Genomic DNA, 22,624 nt, shown 5'->3' on the forward strand with positions numbered 1-22,624 from the left:
ATCCCTATTTTACACTGGCAGAAAATGAGGCCTACAGAGGTTGAGTGAACAACTCAGGTCTCCACCTACCTTGTTCAATCTGTCACTTCTCAGCAATCCCGAACACCACAATTCAATATAAACCCTGCCCCTTCAATTATGTCATATTCAAGAAGCCTGCTCCTCACTTCCACTGGGCCTCTAAAAATGAGTTTAGCTGCTATCTCTACTTCATCTGTTCCTTAAACAGGGCCCTACTAGTACCTGAAATCCTAAATCTTTAGCGATTCCATCATTTTATCATTCATCAGCAGAATAACCTGGGTAGTTGTTTTTTGTTTTTTAACCTAAACTCAGAGGAGATTTAACAATCCAAACCTACCTCATCCGGCAAAATGCTCCAGGCAAAAATGGGATTAATAATCTGTAACATTGATTGAGTGTTTACTATGTGCCAGGCACTGCTGTAAATTCTCTCTCTCTCTCTCTCTCTCTATATATATATATACACATATATATACACATATATATATACACATATATATACACATATATATACACATATATATACACATATATATACACATATATATACACATATATATACACACATATATATACACACATATATATACACATATATATACACACATATATATACACATATATATATATATACACATGAGATGTCTCATATATCTCACAGGATATATGAGAGATATATGAGATATATCTCACATGATGATCCTACTAAATAGGTAATTATTAATCTTACCCTTCTGTTCTAGATGGTGAACAGAGGCTGTGAAAGGTTAGGTCATTTGAATGATATTGCATGGCAGGCACATGATGGAGCCTGTGCTTGAAGCCAGGTCAGCCTGTCACTCAGCACTGTTTCAGGAATCTTTATTCTCATCACAAAGGAGAACAGTAAAGCCATGGTGGAAGCATTTGGATTAGTAAGTCAGAGTATAGCCCAGTGCCGGTGTCAGTAATTGAATGTGACTTCCCTCAGAGCTTCCGAGGGAAGCTTATGACACAGACATGTGACAGAGAGGGAGGGAAATGGAACTTTCTGGGACAGAGTCACGTGGGTCACGTGGTGGTTTCACCTCCAGTAAGAGACTACTGGGGAAAGACTTTAAGCACAGGAACAGTTGGCTCTTTTTTTTTGGATGGAGTTTCACTCTTGTTGCCCAGGCTGGGGTGCAATGGCTCGATCTCGGCTCACTACAACCTCCACCTCCCAGGTTCAAGTGATTCTCCTGCCTCAGCCTCTCGAGTAGCTGGGACTACAGGCGCCTGACACCATGCCTGGCTAATTTTTGTATTTTTAGCAGAGACAGGGTTTCACCATGTTGGCCAGGCTGGTCTCAAACTCCTGACCTCAGGTGATCCGCCAGCCTCAGCTTCCCAAAGTGCTGGGATTACAGGCATGAGCCACCATGCCCGGCCCCAGTTGATTCCTTTAACACTTCAGAATTATACTGTCCAATGGAAAGATAGTAACACATAGCACATGCAATTTTACATTTTCTTGTAACCACTTTTAAAAAATGAAAAGAAACAGGTGAGACTAATTTCAATAAAACATGTTATTTAACCCAATATATCAAAAATATATTCATTTGAACATATAATCAGTATTAAAAACTATTAATCAGAAATTTTACCTTTTTGATACTAAGTCTTTGAAATCCGATGTGCATTTTATACTTGCAGTACTTTTCATTTCAGACTAAGCACATTTTAAGTGCTCAATACTGTATGTGGCTAGTGGAGACCATATTGAACAACACAGGATTTTTGCTATCTTCTGGCACCAACCACTTCTATTAATAGTACCTCCCTCTTATTAATCATCCACACTATGGCTATTAGCTGTTAATATTGATTTGCCAGTGTTTCCAGATCATTGAGCCATCCCTATTAGTAAGGGGTTCACTCCATATTCATCTCATGATATCAGCTAACATTGAATGTGTTTGTGCCAGGCACGCTTCTGAGTGTTTTCGCTTTATATAAAGTCATAAAATCCTCACAACAGCCCTAAAAGCTAAGCTTTTTACCATTTCCTCATTTTACAATTGAGGAAACTAAAGTTATTTAACTGACCAAAGCCACACAAGGATCAAGTGGAGGAGCCATGATTCCAACCTCTGTAGCTTAATCACCCTTACATCCCACCCCAACCCCCTGCCATGCTCTAGAACCAAGGCTGCAGAGAACTGGCTAGGTAGCATTTCACTTGAGGCAGTGAATAGATACAGCTTGGACTCAGCTCCTCTTAGGCCCTCCAAATCTGTGAGAAATTTGGCCACCACTGCTTTCCTTTTCTGTGGTTGGTTGCCCATAGCAACTAGTACATAGCACATATATAGGGTTTGTGTATATCTGTGTGGGTTTGTGCCTACACAAACACACACACACATACACACATGGACGAAAAACATCAAACTACTACAGAGAGTGTTCATAAAAATCATAGAATTGTAGAGCTGGAAGGGCTCTTAAAGACCATCTCATCAAAACAGTGCAGCGCAGCACATTCAAGAGACTTGCGCAAGGTTACACAGCTGAACTAGAACCGAGATCATCCTAAATTAAGTAATTTAGTATCTACTAAATACTTTTTTTTTTTGAGACGGAGTTTCTCTCTGTCATCGCCCAGGCTGGAGTGCAGTGGCGTTATCTTGGCTCACTGCAACCTCCACCTCCCTGGTTCAAGCAATTCTCCCGCCTCAGCCTCCTGAGTAGCTGGGATTACAGGTGCACGCCACCACACCCAGCTAATACTAAATACTTCTTATGCCTAGGACTTCCTAGTTGAAGTGTGGGAGATGGAACAATGTAGCGTCTGTTCTCACTGATATATACTTTATCAAATGTTTCTCTTCCCTACCAGAATACCACCTTTAGGGTGTCAGCATTTGCAAAAACTGTTGATGTTTTTTAGAAATTTAAAACTGGAGAACTCGGAGTTAAAGTGAATTCCTCCAGCCTTACCTCGTTCATGCCTATGGTTAAGCATTTACATTGCTTCTCAAATGCTTCAAAAGGCCAAGGACATATTAAGTTATTTGAGGGTTAAGATATGATCATACAATTGAACTGCCCTGCTGCCCTAATTCTGAGCCCTTATGTGTAAATAACAAAATTGAAATTGTATAATTATCAGTATGAAGAGGTTGGGCTTAGCTTAGCCCTTTCATTTAATAGATTTAGTTTTTTTAATGATATTCAAACGCCCTACTGGAAAAAGTATTGTTATCAGCTTGACCTTTAGGATTAGTGCTGGTCACCATTTCAGCCAAAAGTACAGCAGTAACATCTCACAGAGATTCTTTCTTTCAGCAGCAAACTAGCCATCACTCTTTCCTCGGATCCTTCTATTTCAAAGTGAAGAGCTTGACTACAGTTGAAATGTTGAAATGTTTCCCACTTAAGCACAAAACACACTTGATTTCTTGAAAAAAAAAACCACAGCTTTTATATATTATGTTTCAAAGTGGAGATGGCTGTGAAACTTGAACTCTGACATACAACCTCAACCTGACTTTCTAAAAGTGCCCAGAAAACTGGTCTTCTAATAAGCATGACGAGAGTCTGCTTTTTAATGATTTTTTTGCTAGCCTACATAATTTATTCTAAATCATTAAAAAATAAAAATAGTTTACATTAAATAAATCCCCAACTATGAAAGAAGATGGTCTCACAGACGTTGGATAAAGGACTGAAAGGCAGCAGAGCCAGTCCCAGCGCAGAAAAGTGACTCAGTAGTGACAGCTTAATTCTCAGGAGCCGTTAACAGAACTTTCAGAAGAAAAATTATGTATTCTTGAATTATTTATAAAAGTCATGAGAAAAACACTTTAGGGACCATGGGGAATCAGTTTTGTTCTTTCTTTTCACATTTGCTGAGCCTAAGTCAGTGAACAAAATGCTAAGTAAAAAAAAACAAATGAATTAACATTTAGGTGGTTGAGCAAGACTCTTGTTTTTTGTTTATTGCTCTTTGAATTTTTTTTTACTAGCCCATTGTAAAACCCCTGGGGCACACCTTCAGAATATACGAATGTCAGTAATAACTAGTACAACCTGCTATGGAAAATACTCTGTTTGCAAAACCACAGGTTAGTTCCTGGAAGTCAGCGCGGTCAGAGAAAGGATGTGGTATAGCAGAAAGTTTAAATAGCTCCTGCAACAAAGGGAAGAGAGATCTGTTGACTTCTGCCTCCTAGAGGGTTGAAATTGGAAAGAACAATACTTGAATAGTTCGTACAGAAAGCATTGAAGATGAAAAATTCATCACATTTTGAAAAGCTTCACTAATCACTTTTGGGAAATCAGGTGAGAAAGGAACGAATATATTAGGATAATGATAAGATGAAAATAAGTGTTAACTTCAGATTCGGCAAATCAGCCTGGTTTGTTTTGGTTGCTATATGGAGGACGTTGACATCATTTTTTAAATTAGCCCCCAAATCCCACTTCTTATTGTTGTGGATTGAAAGAGTTGTCGTAATTCACCTGGTTCTAAAATTCTGTGCAGTTGTAGAGCTCCGTAGCCAAATAAGTTCCATAAAATAAACTCATCTCAGGCGCAGGAAAAGCAGCTCTTTTGAAAATACCTTGTGATCAGGCTCTAGGTCACGACCTGGGTCTTGAGAAACTTGAGTTAGTAGATGTTAGTTTTTCTTAGCTCCTTGTTTACTCTGGACTTAGACATTTTGTATTATTAAAAACCTGTGGCTTATAAGGACATTCTATTTATCTTTCCAGGCTTTTTTGATGGAAATGCGTGGATTTTCTTGGAAACAGGGATTTTATTGTGGATTCCTGGTGCCCCCTTGGAGAGGCTTATTTTTCTGGACAATAGTTTTCCTTAGTGTCACTACTCTTTTCATCTCCAAATAGTCACAAGCTCCCAAGGTCGAGAAAAGTGCATCCTTTTGTTCTAATGAATCTGAAATTCCATTTTAAAAAGTCTGCAAAACAGACCCTTGATTAATAACTGAAGGCATATCTCCACTGCATGAAGCATCCAGAGGGGTAGCCTTCAAGACACTTGGAGAAAAAGAAAATCCAACTTAGTCAAACTCAAATAATTTAACAGCATTATTACTACATTTATTATTGCCACTTAAAAGTTTAAGCTTTATCTGTGCTTTAAAGTGTGTTGTACAACATAGGCATGCATGCTTGCCTTTGTTAAAAGAATAGAACCCAGTAAACTTGGCAAAAAGAAGTCAATTACCATTGCCTCTATGTGGAATTCTCTGGGTGTGAAAAGTCCTGTTGCTCCAGACTACATCTTGTCTTTGTTGTAACATGAACATTAAAATGCTTTGTGAGTTTATGCAGTACTTGTGTATGTTATTTTAATCAATAACTCAATCTTTCAGGGAAAAATTAATAGCCACTTTTAGTTAAATGCTACACCTCTAGCCACTAGTCGAATATGGCTATTTTAAAGTTGAGTTAATGACAAATAACATGAAAAATCCAGTTTCTCAGTTTTATTAGCCACATTTCAAATGCTCAATAGCCTCATGTAGCTAGTGGCTTCTACATTGAACAGTGAAGATACACAATGTTTCTATCTTTGCAGAAAGTTCTATTGGACAACACTGCTTCAAAGGATACCTATTCTTGGAAATGAATCTTATCCGGCGCAGAAAACGCTGATTGTTGCTATAGCTTGCTGTCCAAAGAATCCCAGCTTTCTAAGATGATTGATGTCTCTTCCCCAGTCACAATGTGGAGAAATTAACTGAGGCTGTGGATTTGGTATAATTATTAAGAATTCTGAAAATTTCCTTCAAGAGTTGTTTGTTACTCTAAATTGTAATAATAATAATAATAATAATAACAATAACAATAATAAAACCTCTGTGTCTCAATGCCATTTAGCTTTGATTAAGCAAGGAAGAAATGTGGTTTCCTCCATTTTTTTTTTCCTAAGCAGGCTATGTAGAATGCTATAGAAACTGCATTTGGTTGGCATTCATTAAATGCACATAAAATTATCACTGAAAATTGTTAAGAAAAGATACAGTAACATGTTGTAGTGACTGCTATTCAAACATCCATAAATAATACTATTTTAAAATTTTATTCTTTAATATTTTTTGAGACAGGGTCTTGTTCTGTTGCTCAGGCTGGAGTACAGTGGCGTGATCTTGGCTCATTGCAACCTCGACCTCCCAGACTCAAGTGATCCTCCCACCTCAGCCTCCTGAGTAGCTGAGACTACAGGTGTGTGCCACCATGAGCAGCTAATTTTTAAAATTTCTATAGAGACTAGGGTCTCACTATGTTGCCCAGGCTGGTCTCAAATTCCTGACCTCAAATCATCCTTCCACCTCAGCCTCCCAAAGCACTGGGATTATAGGTGTGAGCCACTGTGCCCGGCCTCATGTGATACTATTTTTTTTTAAATTACCTGTTGGGCCTTTTACTTTTTATAGTAACAATTATTTCCTCTTACTCATTCAAAACTTTGTGTCTTATAAATAATTATGCTAATTAGGTTAGTTTTCTGTTTCCCGGCTTGTGGTCCCTCCAATTTCTCGGGGGTCCTTTACCTACTCCATACCTAAATGGCTTTTTCAGGATTCCCTGACTATGTCCTGCACTTTTTTTTAATCTCCAGCCTTTGTGTGTGCCCTTCCTGACATCTGGAATGTTATCCCCATCTGATAAGCATTTCTGGGACTTAGCCATCCTTCAAGGCCCATTTGAAATACCACCTCCTTATCCCTGCAGCTGAAGTGACCTCTCCCCTCTCTAAACTATAACTGCATTATGATTAAGTGTCTCACCTCCCTTACTAGACTGAAAGCTCACTGGTGCGAAGACCTTGGTCTTAGTCTATCATGGGATCCCTCCACATGCTTGGCACAGAGCGAATGCTTAAGACATGGGTGTTGAAATGAGGAAATTCTACCAATTTTCTAAATATGTATACACACAAGATTTCTTTCAGCTGCATCTGCTCTGACAAACCAAAGGTGGTAGCATTGCACACACGCTTTGATATTAAGTTGTAACAAATATGTTACCCTTGCCAATTCATTTTGGCTCATATAGATAATTTGCAGTGTTACAACAGTTATAAACAAGTTGACCTACAACATTGACTCATGTGAGCTAATTTACAAAGAAACTGGGCTGCAGCAACACGAAATCTAGTTCTAGTCAAATCTAAATTGTGTTAGCACTTGACAAGATAACATTTTTCATGTATCAGATTGGCAGAGACTAAAAAGAGCTTGATAAAACAATGTCGGTATGGGGAAACAGAAACTCTCATTTAATTTCAGGTGGGAATGTAAGTTGGTACAATTTCTGTGCAGGACAATTTGGTAATTTGTTAATACCTATCAAAATAAAAAATAGAATAAGCAATTTTACTTGGAGGTATTTATCCTACAATCACATTCATACCTATATACAAGAATGCCTATGGTCTCTCGAGAAAAGTACACAACACCATCTAGGAAGTATTCTTACCAAAGCATGAAGCCTGAATCTGATAAAGTCCCCTGATCAAACCACTTAGTTTGCAGGAAATAGAGGGAAGAGAGGAGAACATGTTAAACAACACCACGCAATGCAGTCAGCAAAACCCAGAATGTAGAAAACTGAAGGACAAACCACACAGATTTGTCAACAAATATATTGCAAGGAAAAAAAGAAAGGGATTTATAAACTGAAGAGGCATATTAGTCAAATGCAATGTGTGGACCTTGTTTGCATTCTGATTTTAATATACCAGCTCTAAACAATAGTTCATATGGCAAATCTGAACACAGGATGTTATTGATATCAATAAATTATTTTTAACTTTTTGAGTAATGGTAATGGTACTTTTTTTAAAAAAAGTGTTCTTATAATATATAATTAAATATCTATGGAAGAAGTTTGCCTCGAAATAATCTATTAGGGCGAGTGGAGGGTTATAAATGAAACAACTTTGCCCGTGAGTTAGGTGGTTATTGTTAAAGTTGTGCTATTTGCTTTACCACTGCATATCTTTTGCATTTTCCCTTTTAAAGGGGAAAGGGGAGATGTCAATATTTCTTGTAATAGAATAGAAATCTAAAAACAGCCTATTTATCTATAATAAGAATTGGCTAAATCAATTAATGTAGACCCACACAATGGAATATTATGATATTATTAAGAAGAGGTGTGTGCTATGTGAGTGTATCTCCTGATATGGAACAGCTTCCAAGATAGAGCAAGCAAAAAATAATGTAAAACAGTATGAATAATATGCTTCCATTTATGTAAAAAAGGGAGATAAATATACACATGTATACATGGATTTGTATAGGTTATTTCTAAAAATGTTTTAAAGAAATTGCTAAGAGTGGTTGCCCCTGGAGAAGGGGCTGGGTGTTATAGAAGAATGGGGTAAGAAAGAGACATTAATTACTTTTCTAATAAAAAAAATGTTTCATTTAATTAACACTTTAAAATATAGCCCATACCCATAGTTAATAACTGAGGTTCTTGAGTTGACTCATGCTCATTGCCAAATAGATGCTATAAAAATTTCTGCCGACTAGTAAAAGTTTGGAGGTCAAAACACATTTTGAAATTATCTGCAAATTGGCAAGCATTAATGCTCTCCTTTGTGTCAAAGGAAAGACATGCACTTCTCACTCACAAATGAGAGAAACATTTCCATTTGGAGATTCCCCAGAGGGACTTATGTTTATAACTAAACACATGTTTTCAAGGGATACTAAGCTGCAGAGGAAATTCTACCCTCTGGAGCAGTGGCAGAGATAATCTGAAACAGCAGATAATCCAAACCTCATAATATTTTGTTTTTAAACGCACAATATTATTTTTAGAAGCAGTCTATTTATGTTCTTAATTATGTTTTTCTGAGGATAATAGACATATTAAAGTGAATTTGTAGTCTCTGAGCACCCACCAACAGAAGGTGGTAGAACACATGGGCCAGAAATATGCTTTGTGGTAGAGGAGATACTGATAACCTATAACTAGGTCAGGAGGTGGTGACTGTAGATTTTTATTTCACTTCCCACTGCTGTTTAGACGTTCTGCCTTTGCCTTCATATGACCTCCCCTCCAAAATCTTTCTGAGAGCATTCCATCTAATTTTCCTTCCAAGCCAAAGTTTAAAATAACAATACTGATCTGTAAGAAGAAAAGAAATCATTAGCATCCTATCTATTTATAAAGTAAAAAGATTAGTGTATTTTTCAATTAATATGTTCCACATGGACAACTCCATTATTCTTGCCTAGTGAATGGTGAGTGTCCTGTACGCCAATTCCTTCAGATATACAGTTGAACAAGTAGGGCAGAAGCCTCAGGTAGACAGTGTGGAAAGCTGTAGACCACTGGTAAGGAGGCATTGCCTTTTTAAAAATGTGGTGTTGTTGCTGCTGTTCTTTGTGTGTGTTGTGAAAAGTAACAGAATGAAATTTCCCTTGTCCTGACCACTGCCTCTCTAAAGTTATGCTGGGTAATTCTAGACTTGTTACCTTGTTTCCTCCTCACAAAAGACTCAGTGAAAGGGGTGAGGGTGGGGAACAGCTGCATGGGGCAGAGCAAGAAATGGTGACGACCCCCCGATTTCTAGCTTGGCCGACGTGGTAGATGTGATGCCTTTAACAGAGAGGGGGAACACAGCAAGAGCTGTAGATTTAGGCGAAAGTTAGGAAGAGTTAGCGAGTTTAATTTTCCACAGGATAATTGGTGGGTCAGTAGGTCTTGACAGGTCACGTGGTGCATGATGGGTCATAACCTTTTAGCCAGTGAAAGAAACAAGCCATCCTTTCTATCCCTCTGAAAATCTTAATTCCCACCATATGTTTTACTGCCCATGGCACATTACAGATCATTGGTCTATTTCTTAAATGACAGAAAACCGTACTTCTATTGTTCTTGTCTTTATACATTTAGCACATATATCAGCAATAGAAGGTTTTATTTTTTAAAGTGCAAGTAACATGGAAGCATATTATATTTTTTCTAATGGCTGGATTCCCTTAAAGCGGCACATATTTCTATGAATTTCCGGCTCACTTGAGGAAAGTGCTTCTTTAAAGAAATACAAATATCCAGAAAAGCATTAAAAAAAGTTCATCCTCACTCACAGTTAACATGTAGGTTCAAACAGTATTATTCACCTTCCCATTTTGGCAAGGTTGTGGGGAAACTGAAGGGCACTTTCCAAACAGTGATACAAGCAGTGCAAATCCCTGGAATCTCTTTGGGGCCAGTGTCCATGCACTTAACCACTCTATATCGCCCTGCTATCCTGGCTTTGTGACTTTCTCAAAGTCTTCCCAAAGTCACTTCTCAAATGTCTTTCTACAAATATATGCCCACAAATACAGTAAACATTGTTTAAGAATGTCCATTGCACTTCATGACTAAAACACCAAAAGCAATGGCAACAAAAGCCAAAATTGACAAATGGGATCTAAATAAACTAAAGAGCTTCTGCGCGGCAAAAGAAACTACCATCAGAGTGAACAGGCAACCTACAGAATGGGAGAAAATTTTTGCAATCTACCCATCTGACAAAGGGCTAATATCCAGAATCTACAAAGAACTCAAACAAATTTACAAGAAAAAACAAACAACCCCATCAAAAAGTGGGGAAAGGATATGAACAGACACTTCTCAAAAGAAGACATCTATGCAGCCAACAGACACATGAAAAAATGCTCATCATCACTGGTCATCAGAGAAACGCAAATCAAAACCACAGTGAGATACCGTCTCACGCCAGTTAGAATGACAATCATTAAAAAGTCAGGGAGCAATAGATGCTGGAGAGGATGTAGAGAAATAGGAATGCTTTTACACTGTTGGTGGGTGTGTAAATTGGTTCAACCATTGTGGAAGACAGTGTGACGATTCCTCAAGGATCTAGAACTAGAATTACAATTTGACCCAGCCATCCCATTACTGGGTATATACCCAAAGGATTATAAATCATGCTGCTATAAAGACACATGCACACGTATGTTTATTGCGGCACTATTCACAATAGGAAAGACTTGGAACCAACCTAAATGTCCAACAATGATAGACTGGATTAAGAAAATGTGGCACATATACACCATGGAATACTGTGCAGCCATAAAAAAGGATGAGTTCATGTCCTTTGCAGGGACATGGATGAAGCTGGAAACCATCATTCTCAGCAAACTATCACAAGGACAGAAAACCAAACACCGCATGTTCTCGCTCATAGGTGGGAACTGAACAATGAGATCACTTGGACACAGGGCGGGGAACATCACACACTGGGGGCCTGTCAGGAGGTGGGGGGCTGGGGGAGGGATAGCATTAGGAGAAATACCTAATGTAAATGATGAGTTGATGGGTGCAGCAAACCAACATGGCACATGTATACCTATGTATCAAACCTGCACATTGTGCACATGTACCCTAGAACTTAAAGTATATATAAAAAAAGAATGTCCATTGCAATATTGAAATAGCAAACAGAGGGAAACAGATTAAATATTTATGAATGAGTGACTAGTTAAATATATTAAAGTACATCAGGCATTGGAATATCATGCAGAATAAAGGTGATCTATATGTATTGGGCCCTATGTGTAGTGTGATCCCAATGGAGTCTAAACAAAAACAAAAATAAAAAAGTTATTTCTCTCGCTACTTATATATTGTAGAAAATAGGGCGATATTCATGTCAGTGACTTCTAGGGGTAAGATTAGAGTGGGAAAAGGGTACAGGAAGACCTTCTTCTTTTTCTTTCTCCTTAATTGCTTAACTTAAAAAAAAACCTGTGTATCTAAAACAATAGAAAAAGAGATGCTGAAAAAGTTCTTTTTAATTTTAATTTTGTAACCTTTAAAACCCCATGCCGCTCTTTTGATACATCTAAAAATGTCATGTCCTCCTTCAGTGCTATTTGAAATTTGAAAATAAATATTGTTGGCCGGGCGCGGTGGCTCACCCCTGTAATCCCAGCACTTTGGGAGGCCAAGGTGGGTGGATCACAAGGTCAGGAGTTCAAGACCAGCTTGGCCAACGTGGAGAAACCATATCTCTACTAAAAAAAAAAAAATAGCTGGGCATGGTGGCCGGTGCTTGTAATCCCAGCTGCTACTCGGGAGGCTGAGGCAGGAGAATTGTTTGAACCCGGGAAGGCGGAGGTTACAGTGAGCCAAGATCAGTCACTGCATTCCAGCCTGGTGACAGAGCAGGACTCTGAAAAAAAGAGAAAGAAAGGAAGGAAGGAAGGAAGGAAGGAAGGAAGGAAGGAAGGAAAGAAGGGAGAGAAAGAGAGAGAGAAAGAAAGAAAGAAGGAAAGAAAGAGAAAGAAAGAAAGAGAAATATTGTTACTACAAACAAATAATGGCGCTGTGACAAAACGATGTTTCGTTTTCAAAACACATATGTTTCTTAGAGATTAATACTATCTTATCCTACAATCTCTTTTAAAAGAATCAGGCTGTCTAAAATGTTCAATATTCTTATTCCTCTTTTGACAATCCTTTTTTTATTTTTTATTTTTTAGAGATGGGGTCTCTGTTGCCCAGGCTGGAGTGCAGTGGCACGATCTTGGCTCACTGCAACCTCTCTGCCTCCTGGGTTCAAGCAATTCTCCTGCCTCAGCCTCCCAAGTAGCTTGGACTACAGGCACATGCCACCAAGCCCAGCTAATTTCTTTTGCATTTTAGTAGAGACGGGGTTTCACCATGTTGCCCAGGCTGGTCTCGAACTCCTGAGCTCAGGCAATCCACCCGCCTCGGCCTCCCAAAGTGCTAGGATTATAGGCATGAGCCACTGCACCTGGCCGACAATACTTTAAAAACAGCTTTATTGAGGTATAATTGACATAAAATGAATTGTATGTATTAAAACTGTATCATTTGAAAATCAGTATGTCAAAGACATATCTGCATTCTCATGTTCATTATAGCACTATTCACAATAGTCAAGGTATGGAATCAACCTAAGTGTCCATCCATGGGTGAATGGATAAAGAAAATGTGGTATACATATTCAATGGAATACTATTCAGCCTCAAAATGAAGGAAATCCTGTCATTTGTGACAACGTGGATGAACCTAGAGGATATTATGTTACAGAAAATAAGCCAGACACATAAAGGCAAATAGCACATAATCTCATTTATATATGGAGTCTAAAAAAGTCAAACTCATAGCAGTAGAAAGTAGAATGATGATTACCACAGGCTGTGGAGGGATTGAGAGCTTTTGATCAAAGGATACAGAAGTTCAGTTAGAGAGGAGGAATAAATTTAAGACATCTATTGTACAACATGGTGACTATAGTTAATAACAATATAGTATTTCATTCTTGAAAATTGCTGAAAAAAATAGATTTTAAGCACTCTCACCACAAAAATTGACAAGTATGTGAGGTAATGCATATGTTAATTAGCTTGATTTAACTATCCAACAATGTATACATATTTCAAAACATCATATTGTACACCATAAATATATCTAATTTTATTTGTTAATTTAAAAAGTGTATCATTTCTGAGAACACATAGACACTTGAAGGGGAACAACACACACTGGGGCCTGTGGAGTGTGGGGAGGGAGAGCATCAGGAAGAATAGCTAATGGATGCGGGGCTTAATACCTAGGGGATGGGATGATCTGTGCAGCAAACCACCATGGCACATGTTTACCTACGTAACAAACCTGCACATCCTTCACATGTACCCCTGAATTTAAAATAAAAGTTGAAGAAAGCAAAGTATATCATTTCATAATTATTGCCATAAGTATATACTCACAAAACTATCACCACTGTCAAGATAGTGAACATATCACCCCTAAAACTTTCCTCCTGCCCCTTTGTAGTGCCCCCCTCCTGCCCAACTCATCCTCAGAAAACCTCTGACCTGCTTTATGTCATTGTAGATTAGTTTGCACCTTTAAAACGTTCATATAACTGGAATTATGCAGTACTTAGTCATCTTGTCTGGTTTCTTTTACTGAACATAATTATTTTGAGATTCATACATACTGTTGCGTGTAACAAAAGTTCATTCCTTTTTCTTGCTGAATAGTATTTCATTGTGTGACTGTTCCAGAATTTATCGATTCACCTCTGAATGGGCATTTGAGTTGTTTTCAGTTTGTGGCTGTTACAAATAAAGTTGTTATGACTATCCACGTACAAGTCTTTGAATGGATGTATGTTTTCACATCTCTTGGATAAATACCTAGGAGTAGAATGGCTGAATCATCTAACAAGTATACATTAAACTTTTGAAGAAATTGCCAAATTGTTTTTCAAAGTGGTTGTACCATTTTACATTCCTATCAGCAGTGTACAGTAATTAGAGATTTTCCACATCCTAGTCAACATGTGGAATAATCAGTCTTTTTAGTTTTAGTTACTGTAATAGGTATGCAGTGACATCTCATTGTGGTTTTAATTTGCATTTTGTTAACGGCTAATGGCATTGAGTATGTTTTCCATGTATTCATTTGCAAACTATATATTTTCTTTAGTAAAGTGTCTGTTCAAAACTTTTGCCTTAGGGCCCGGCATGATGACTCGTGCCTGTAATCCCAGCACTTTGGGAGGTCGAGGTGGGTGGATCACTTGAGGCCAGGAGTTCGATACCAGCCTGGAGAATATGGTGAAAGCCCATCTACTAAAAATTAAAAAAAAAAATTAGCTGAGCATGGAAATCCCAGCTACTCAGGAGGCTGAGGCACCAGAATCACTTGAACCTGGGAGTCCAGGCTGTACTCCAGCCTGGGTGACAGAGTGAGACTCTGTTTCAAAACAACAACAACAACAACAACAACAACAACAACAACAACAGCAAACCCAAAACTTTTGCCTGGCCGGGTGTGATGGCTCATGCCTGTAATCCCAGCATTTGGGGAGGCTGAGGTGGGAGGATTGCTTGAGGCCGGGAGCTTGAGAGCAGTTTGGGCAACACAACAACGAGACCTTATCTCTACAAAAACAAACAAACAAACAAACAAAAACTTATCCCTTTTTTCTTAATTGGGTTACTTGTCTTTATATTATTCAGCTGTAGGAGTTCTCTATATATTCTCTATACTAGTCCTTTATCAAATATAATATTTGCAATTATTTTCTTCTAGTCAATGCCGTTACTTTCTCTTAAGCAGTATCCTTTGAAGAGCAGAAGTTTTAGATTTTGATGAAATCCAATCTATTAATTTCTTCTTTCATAGATGTGCTTTTGTTACTATATCTAAGAAATACTTGTCTAACCCAAGTTCAAAACAGATTTTCTCTAAAGTTTTCTTCTAGAAATTTTAGTTTTAGGACTGTAGTTTAGACTAGGTCTGTGACACATTTGGAGTTAACTTTTGTGTATTGAGTAAAGTAAGGATAAAATTTTTTGTGTATAGATATTAAAATGTTTCAGTACCATTTGTTGAAAAGATGATATTTTCTCCATTGAGTTGCATTTGCACTTTGTAAAAAATCAATTGTCCCTATATATGTGGGTCTATTTCTGTCTACATTTTGTCATATCAATCTATTTGTCTTTACACCAATGCCACACGCTTTTGATTACTGTAGCTTTATATCTTGAAATCAAGTAGTCTTAGCCCTCTAACATTTTTTAATTGTTTTTACTATTTTAGGTCCTTTACATTTCTATATGAATTTCAGAATCAGCTTATCAATTTCTATTTGAAACCTCTGCTGAGAGTTGGATTGGGACTGTTTTGAACCTCTAGATCCATTTAGGGAGAACTAATATTTAAAAGTATTGAGTCTTAATCCATGAACACAGTGTATCTCTCCATCTATTTAGATCTTTTTAAATTTCTGTCAATAACATTTTGTAGTTTACAGTGTACAGATTTTTCACATTTTTAACCAGATTCATCTCTAAATATTTCATATTTCTTATCTTATTGCAAAAATATTGTCTTTAATTTGAATTTCCCATTGTTCATTGCTAATATATAGAAATATAATTAATTTTTGGATATTGATATTGCATCCTACAACCTTACTAAGCTTACTAAGTTCGCTTACTAGTTCTAGTAGCTTTTTGGTCAATTACATTAGAGGATTTTCTACAATAGAAATGGCCTTATTTCTTTCTTCACAATCTGGAAATCTTTTTTTTTTTTTTTCTGTTTGAGACAAGGTGTCCCTCTGTTGTTGAGGCTGTGATGCAATCACAGCTCACTGCAGCCTCCACCTACTGTGCTCAAGCAGGCCCTCCCACCTCAGCCTCCAGAGTAGCTGGGACTATAGGCATGCACCACCATGCCCAGCTAATTTCTTTGTTTGTTTGTTTGTTTGTTTGTTTGTTTGTTTGAGACAGAGTCTTGCTCTGTTGCCTAGGCTGGAATGCAGTGGCGCGATCTCGTCTCACTGCAAGCTCCGCCTCCCGGTTCACGTCATTCTCCTGCCTCAGCCTCCGAAGGCTGAGACTACAGGCGCCCGCCACCATCTGGGACTACAGGCGCCCGCTGCCACGCCTGGCTAATTTTTTTGTATTTTTTAGTAGAGTCCGGGGTTTCACCGTTTTAGCCAGGATGGTCTTGATCTCATGACCTCGTGATCCGCCTGCTTCTGCCTCCCAAAGTGCTGGGATTACAGGCGTGAGTCACCGCGCCTGGCTTGCTCAGCTAATCTCTTAAAAAAATTTTTGTAGTGATGGAGTCTCCCTATTTTGGCCAGGCTGGTCTTGAACTCCTTAGCTCAAGTGATCTGCTCTCCTTAGCCTCCTAATGTAATCCACACCTAATGGATTACAGGTGTGAGCCACTGTGCCTGGCCAGTAGGTTTCTTTGAAATAATTTGTTCATTTCATCTAGGTGTTGAATTTATTGGCATAAAGTTGTTAATAATATTCCCTTATTGTCCTTTTAATACCTGTAATCTCAGTAATAATATCATTTCTCTCATTCCATATTACTAATTAGTGTCTTCTGTCTTTATTTTCTGATCAGTTTGGCTGGAAGTTTGTCAGTATTATGTATCTTCTCAAAGAGCCAATTTTTAATTTCATTGATTTTCTCTATTGTTTTTATCTTTTCTATATTACTGATTTCTACTTTAATCTTCATTGTTTTCTTCATTCTGCTTACTTTGGCCTTTATTTTTTCTTTTTCTAGAATTTTAAGGTAGAAGTTGAATTCATTGATTTGAGAACTTAGAATTGGCTTCTCTTCTAACATAGGAATTTAGCACTCTAAATTTTCTTCTAAACACTGTTTTAGCTGCATATCAAAAATTTTAATGTTTTGTGTTTTCATTTTCATTTGGTTCAAAAGACTTTTAAAATTCTTTTGAGCTCTTTGACCTATGTGTCATTGAAAAGTGTATTATTTATTTTCCAAATATTTGAGGATTTCCCCAATGTCTTTCTGTTACTGATGTCTAGTTTAATTCCATTGTGGTCAGAAAACATACTTTGTTTGAACCATTTAAAATTTATTAAGACTTATTTTATGGCTCAGAATATATCTTATCTTGGTCAATGTGTGTACTTAAAAAAAAATATGTATTCTGCTCCTGGTGGTGGAATGGTCTGTAAACATCAATTAGGTGAAGTTAGCTGATAGTGTTTTTCAGGTCTCCTATATCCTTAATGACTTTCTGCCTATTTGTTCTATTAATTATCGAGAGAGGGGTGTTGAAGTCTCCAACTGCAATTGTGGATTTGTTTATTTTTTCTTATAGTTTGATCAGTTTTTGCTTCATGTAATTTTAAGCTCTGTTATTAGTCACATAAATATTTAGGCTTATTACATTCTCTTGAATAATTGACCCCTTTATCATTATGAAATTGTGCTCTTACCCCTGATAATAGTTTTTACTCTGCAACCTACTTTGTCTGATACTAATGCAACCACTTCAGCTTTCTTTTGATTAGTGGCAAGTTGGCATATCTTTATCCATACATTTAGGTTTAACCTATTAGTGTCTTTAGATTAAAGAGTATTTCTTGGATGCAGCATATACTTGAATCTTACCTTTTAACTGGGGTGTTTTAACCATTTATTTTTAATGTGAGTATTGATATGCTTAGCTTTAAGTCTGCCTTCTTACTATGTATCTCTTTATCCCCTCTCTTTTTTGTTCCTTTTTCCTTTTTCTGCCTTCTTTTGGATTATGTTTCATTTATTACTTTTTATCTCCTTATTGGCTTACTATTTATTTATTTATTTATTTTGAGACAGAGTCTTGCTCTGTCGCCCAGGCTGGAGTGCAGTGGTACGATCTTGGCTCACTGCAACTTCTGCCTCCCGGGTTCAAGCCATTTTCCTATTCAGCCTCCCGAGTAGCTGGGACTACAGGCACATGCCACAACGCCCGGCTAATTTTTTGTATTTTTAGTAAAGATGGGGTTTCACCATGTTAGCCAGGATGGTCTCGATCTCCTGACCTCGTGATCCACCTGCCTCGGCCTCCCAGAGTGCTGGGATTACAGGCGTGAGCCACCGCACCTGACCGGCTTACTATTTATAACTGTATAACTGTAGTATTGTTTGAGTGGTTGCTTTTTTTTTTTGGAATCTTGCTCTGTCGCCCAGGCTGGAGTGCAGTGGCGCAATCTTGGCTCACTGCACCCTCTGCCTCCTGGGCTCAAGCGATTCTCCTGCCTCAGCCTCCTGAGAGCTGGGATTACAGGCACGCTTCACCATGCCCAGATAATTTTTGTATTTTTAGTAGAGATGACGTTTCACCATGTTGGCCAGGCTGGTCTCGAACCCATGACCTCAGGTGATTCACCAGCTTCGGCCTCCCAAAGTGTTGGGATTACAGGTGTGAGACACTGCGCCTGGCCTGAGTGGTTGCTTTTTAGGAGAAATAGGGCCAGGCATGGTGGCTAATGCCTGTAATCCCAGCACTTTGGGAGGCTGAGGCAGGTGGATCACTTGAGCTCAGGAGTTTAAGACCAGCCTGGCCAACATGGCGAAACCCCATCTCTACTAAAAATACAAAAATTAGCTGGGCGTGGTGGTGCACACCTGTAAATCCCAGCTACTTGGGAGGCTGAGGTAGGAGAATCGCTTGAACCCAGGAGGCAGAGGTTGCAGTGAGTGGAGATCGTGTTGCTGCACTCCAGCCTGGATGATAGAGTGAGACTCCGTCTCAAAAAAAAAAAAAAACAAAACAAAAAAAGGATATAGTACAGGAAGTCTCTTTGCTTGGTAATGCTAGACTGTAAAAATGACCATGCAAGCTGAACTGTGCAAAGAGATATTAATAATTAATGAAAAAAGTTACAATTTTTCAGTGACCCTGAAATTTTTTGTCAAAATATTAAAAACTCTCCTATCATTTATAAATATATAGGGAAACGAAAAAACCATAATCACATGAATATTTATTTAGTATACTATAACTTAAAACTTTAGTATACTGTAATTTTAAACACAATATTAGAAATATTGAGAATTAAAGTGTTTTGTTTCTTTGTTTTAAAAAAATATCAAAATGACATCCTCTTCCAGGAATATGGAATAGACACACTTGTCTTTCTTCCTCTCTCTAGGTACAAGTAAAAATTCTGTACATTATATATAAAATAAACATAAGAAGACTCTGAAAGTTGAAGAGAAGACAGACCAGATCTTTTGGCTAGGAATCTTGAGACACAAATAACATGGCGTTGAGTTCCCTGGGTTTTCTTTTTGCCTTATATATCCTAAACATGGAGATGAAGAAACTGGCAACCTCAAAATGCCGATAGGAACAGATAAAAAAGAGCCCCAGTAAAAACTTGTGCTCTCTAGCCAAAGCACCAGGAAAGGGGCAGCCTAAGAAAAAAGAAAACATTTTGTAATAACTACTGTACTCCAGCCAAACACCACAGAAAAAAACTGTAGTCCCACCCCCATCCACATCAACAAATGCCAAGTGAAGAGCTTAGAATTCCACACTAGCAAGGCAGTAAAGAGGTGCTACAACACCCCCACCAGGGAAGTGTCAAAGAATGCCAAGTCAGGAGCCAGGACTGTCATCTCTGCTGACCCATAGTAAGCTTTCCCCCAAGGATCTCAACGGCAATCACATGGAGAGCTTAGACATGCCACTTCTAGCAGTAGTGAGGTGCTCCTTCCCTTCCCTGCTAGTATGGTGTCAGAGGTAACACTAGCTCCATAAAATAAATTGGGAAGGGTTCCCTCCTTTTCCGTTTTCTGGATGAAATTATGTGTAATTGGAATTAAATCACTAATCATTTGGTAGAATTCTCCAGTGAAACGATCTGGGCCTGGAGTTTCTTTGGTGGGGGGAAATTTTTAAATTACAAATTTTTACAGAAAATCCTAAATAACTAGCAGAAAAATAAAAACCTCTTAGAACTAATAAACCAGTACGGCAAGGTTGCAGGATACAAGATCAATATACAAAAATCACTTGTATTTCTATACACTAGCAATGAACACCCCAAAAATGAAATTAACAATCTCATTTACACTAGAAATTAAGAAAACATTCCCATTTACAATTCTTAGAATAGAATACTAAGGAATACATTTAACAAGCAACAAAAACAGGTTGGAGAACTCATACTTTCTGATTTCAAAAATTTCTATAAAGCTATGGTAATCAAGACTTTGTGTTACTGCCATAAGGATAGACATATGGGTCAACCAAACAACATAGAGAGTCCAGAAATAAACCCATACTTCTATGGCCAGTTGATTTTTGACAAGAGTGCCAAGACAATTCAAAAGGGAAAGAACAATCTTTACAACAAATGGTTCTGGGACAACTGAACGTTCACATGCAAAAGAATAAAATTAGACTCTTACTTCACAACATATACAAAAATTAACTCAGGTGTGGGGCCAGCTCCTAGGCCAGCGGCATACAAATTGGCTTGTCAGTCAGCTACCATGGGTGGTGGCCTGGCAAAGGCAGGAGCTGAGCTCAGTTCCCCAAAAATTATAAAAGGAAACTTAAGAAATACAATGAGGCTAGTGATTTATTTCAGTGATAAAGCAAATTGAGCAACATCAAGAGAATTGGTGAACACTAGATGTCAGAGGGTCATCAGTCAAAAAAAGAAGACACAAAATAGAAAAGAAGAGAAGGTTGAAGAGAGAAACCACAGTGAGAACAAACCATAAAATAAAACTTGACGGCCCTGGTGAAAACATCAATGAAGATGAGGCTCAGTCAAGTAATTAAGGAAAGAAAGTTAATAAGCACAAGTGGGTACCACTCCACTTAGATGATGTAGGACCACATAATCAATAAAGACCAGTATCCTAAACATCTTACAGGATTCCGAAACCTGAAGCAAATAAATTACACATAACAATAGGCAAAATGATATACAAAATTGAAGGCAAGATAGACAAAAATAGAGAGATGATTAATATAAAGTTTCCAGTATAAGTGAGGGTGGCAAGTTCCTTTAGAGACTTGGGAAGAGGCCAGGCCAAAGACAGAGATGAGAATGAAAATGAGGCAGAGGAAATCCTCAAATGAGGATTATTTCATTATTCTTATAGTTATCAAGAACATGGTAAAAAAGTTGATCAACCATTTCAAACAGAACTTAATACCAGGATGATATATTACTATGATGATACTACTGGCATACAGGTATATCCTGTAAAAGAAACATTGCATCAAGAGTATATTAAGTGCCAAATTAAAATGTTACTTCGGTAAAAGAAAATTCGGAGTGGAAATATCTTAGAAAACAGATGTATGAACATGGCTTCTTGCCTATTTCCCTGATAGCTGGTTTCCACCACATTCAGACTCACTATAAAGCTTAATCTTATTTTAGAGACATTAAGCAATAGCACAGAAATGGAAATTGTGAACGAGAGCATGAGAAAAAAGAACAAGATAAATAGCCCTTTCCTGATTGTCTTCTATCAAGTATGCCACAGACTTCTCTCAAATGATCAATTGCTCAGAATTCATACTAGGCCAAGCCTTTGGCTAACATACAGAGAGTCTGTCCTATATTCTACAAGAATTGGAAGTCCACTGAGTCCAAAGAAAATACTGAAACAAGCAGTCTTCAAGCAATCTAGAAGTTTGTCTACCAATTTGCCCCATTTAGACTCAGAGCCTTAGTGTCTTAGTCCATTTGGGCTGCTATAATAAAATACCATAGACTGGGTGGCTTATAAACAACAGAAACTATTTCTCACAGTTTTGGAGGCTGGGAAGTCCAAGATCAAGGCACCTGCAGATTTGATGTCTGGTGAGGGCCTGCTTCATAGATGGCATCTTCTCATTTTGCCTTCACATGGTGGAAGGGGCAACGGGTCATTCTTGGAACTCATTTGTAAACACACTAATCACACTCATGAGAGCTCTACCCTCATGACCTAATCACCTCCAAAAAGCCCCATCTCTTAATATCATCACCCTAGAAGTTAGGATTTTAACACATGAGTTTGAGAAGGGCACAAACATTCAGACCATAGTAGTTGGATAGAAGTAAAAAAGGATCGGCTGGGCGCAGTGGCTCATGCCTGTAATCCCAGCACTTTGGGAGGCCGAGGTGGGTGGATCACCTGAGGTCAGGAGTTCGAGACCAGCCTGACCAACATGGAGAAACCCTGTCTCTACTAAAAATGCAAAATTAGTTGGGCGTGGTGGCGCATGCCTGTAACCTCAGCTACTCGGGAGGCTGAGGCA

At 38.1% G+C, this 22,624-nt stretch overlaps 1 pseudogene; it reads left to right on the forward strand.

Annotated features, from left to right (window-relative positions):
- Positions 20,888 to 22,052, forward strand: LARP1BP3 (LARP1B pseudogene 3; annotated as a pseudogene).

This window comes from Homo sapiens, chromosome X, assembly GCF_000001405.40.
Source record: "Homo sapiens chromosome X, GRCh38.p14 Primary Assembly".
NCBI classification, from domain to species: Eukaryota; Metazoa; Chordata; class Mammalia; order Primates; family Hominidae; genus Homo; species Homo sapiens.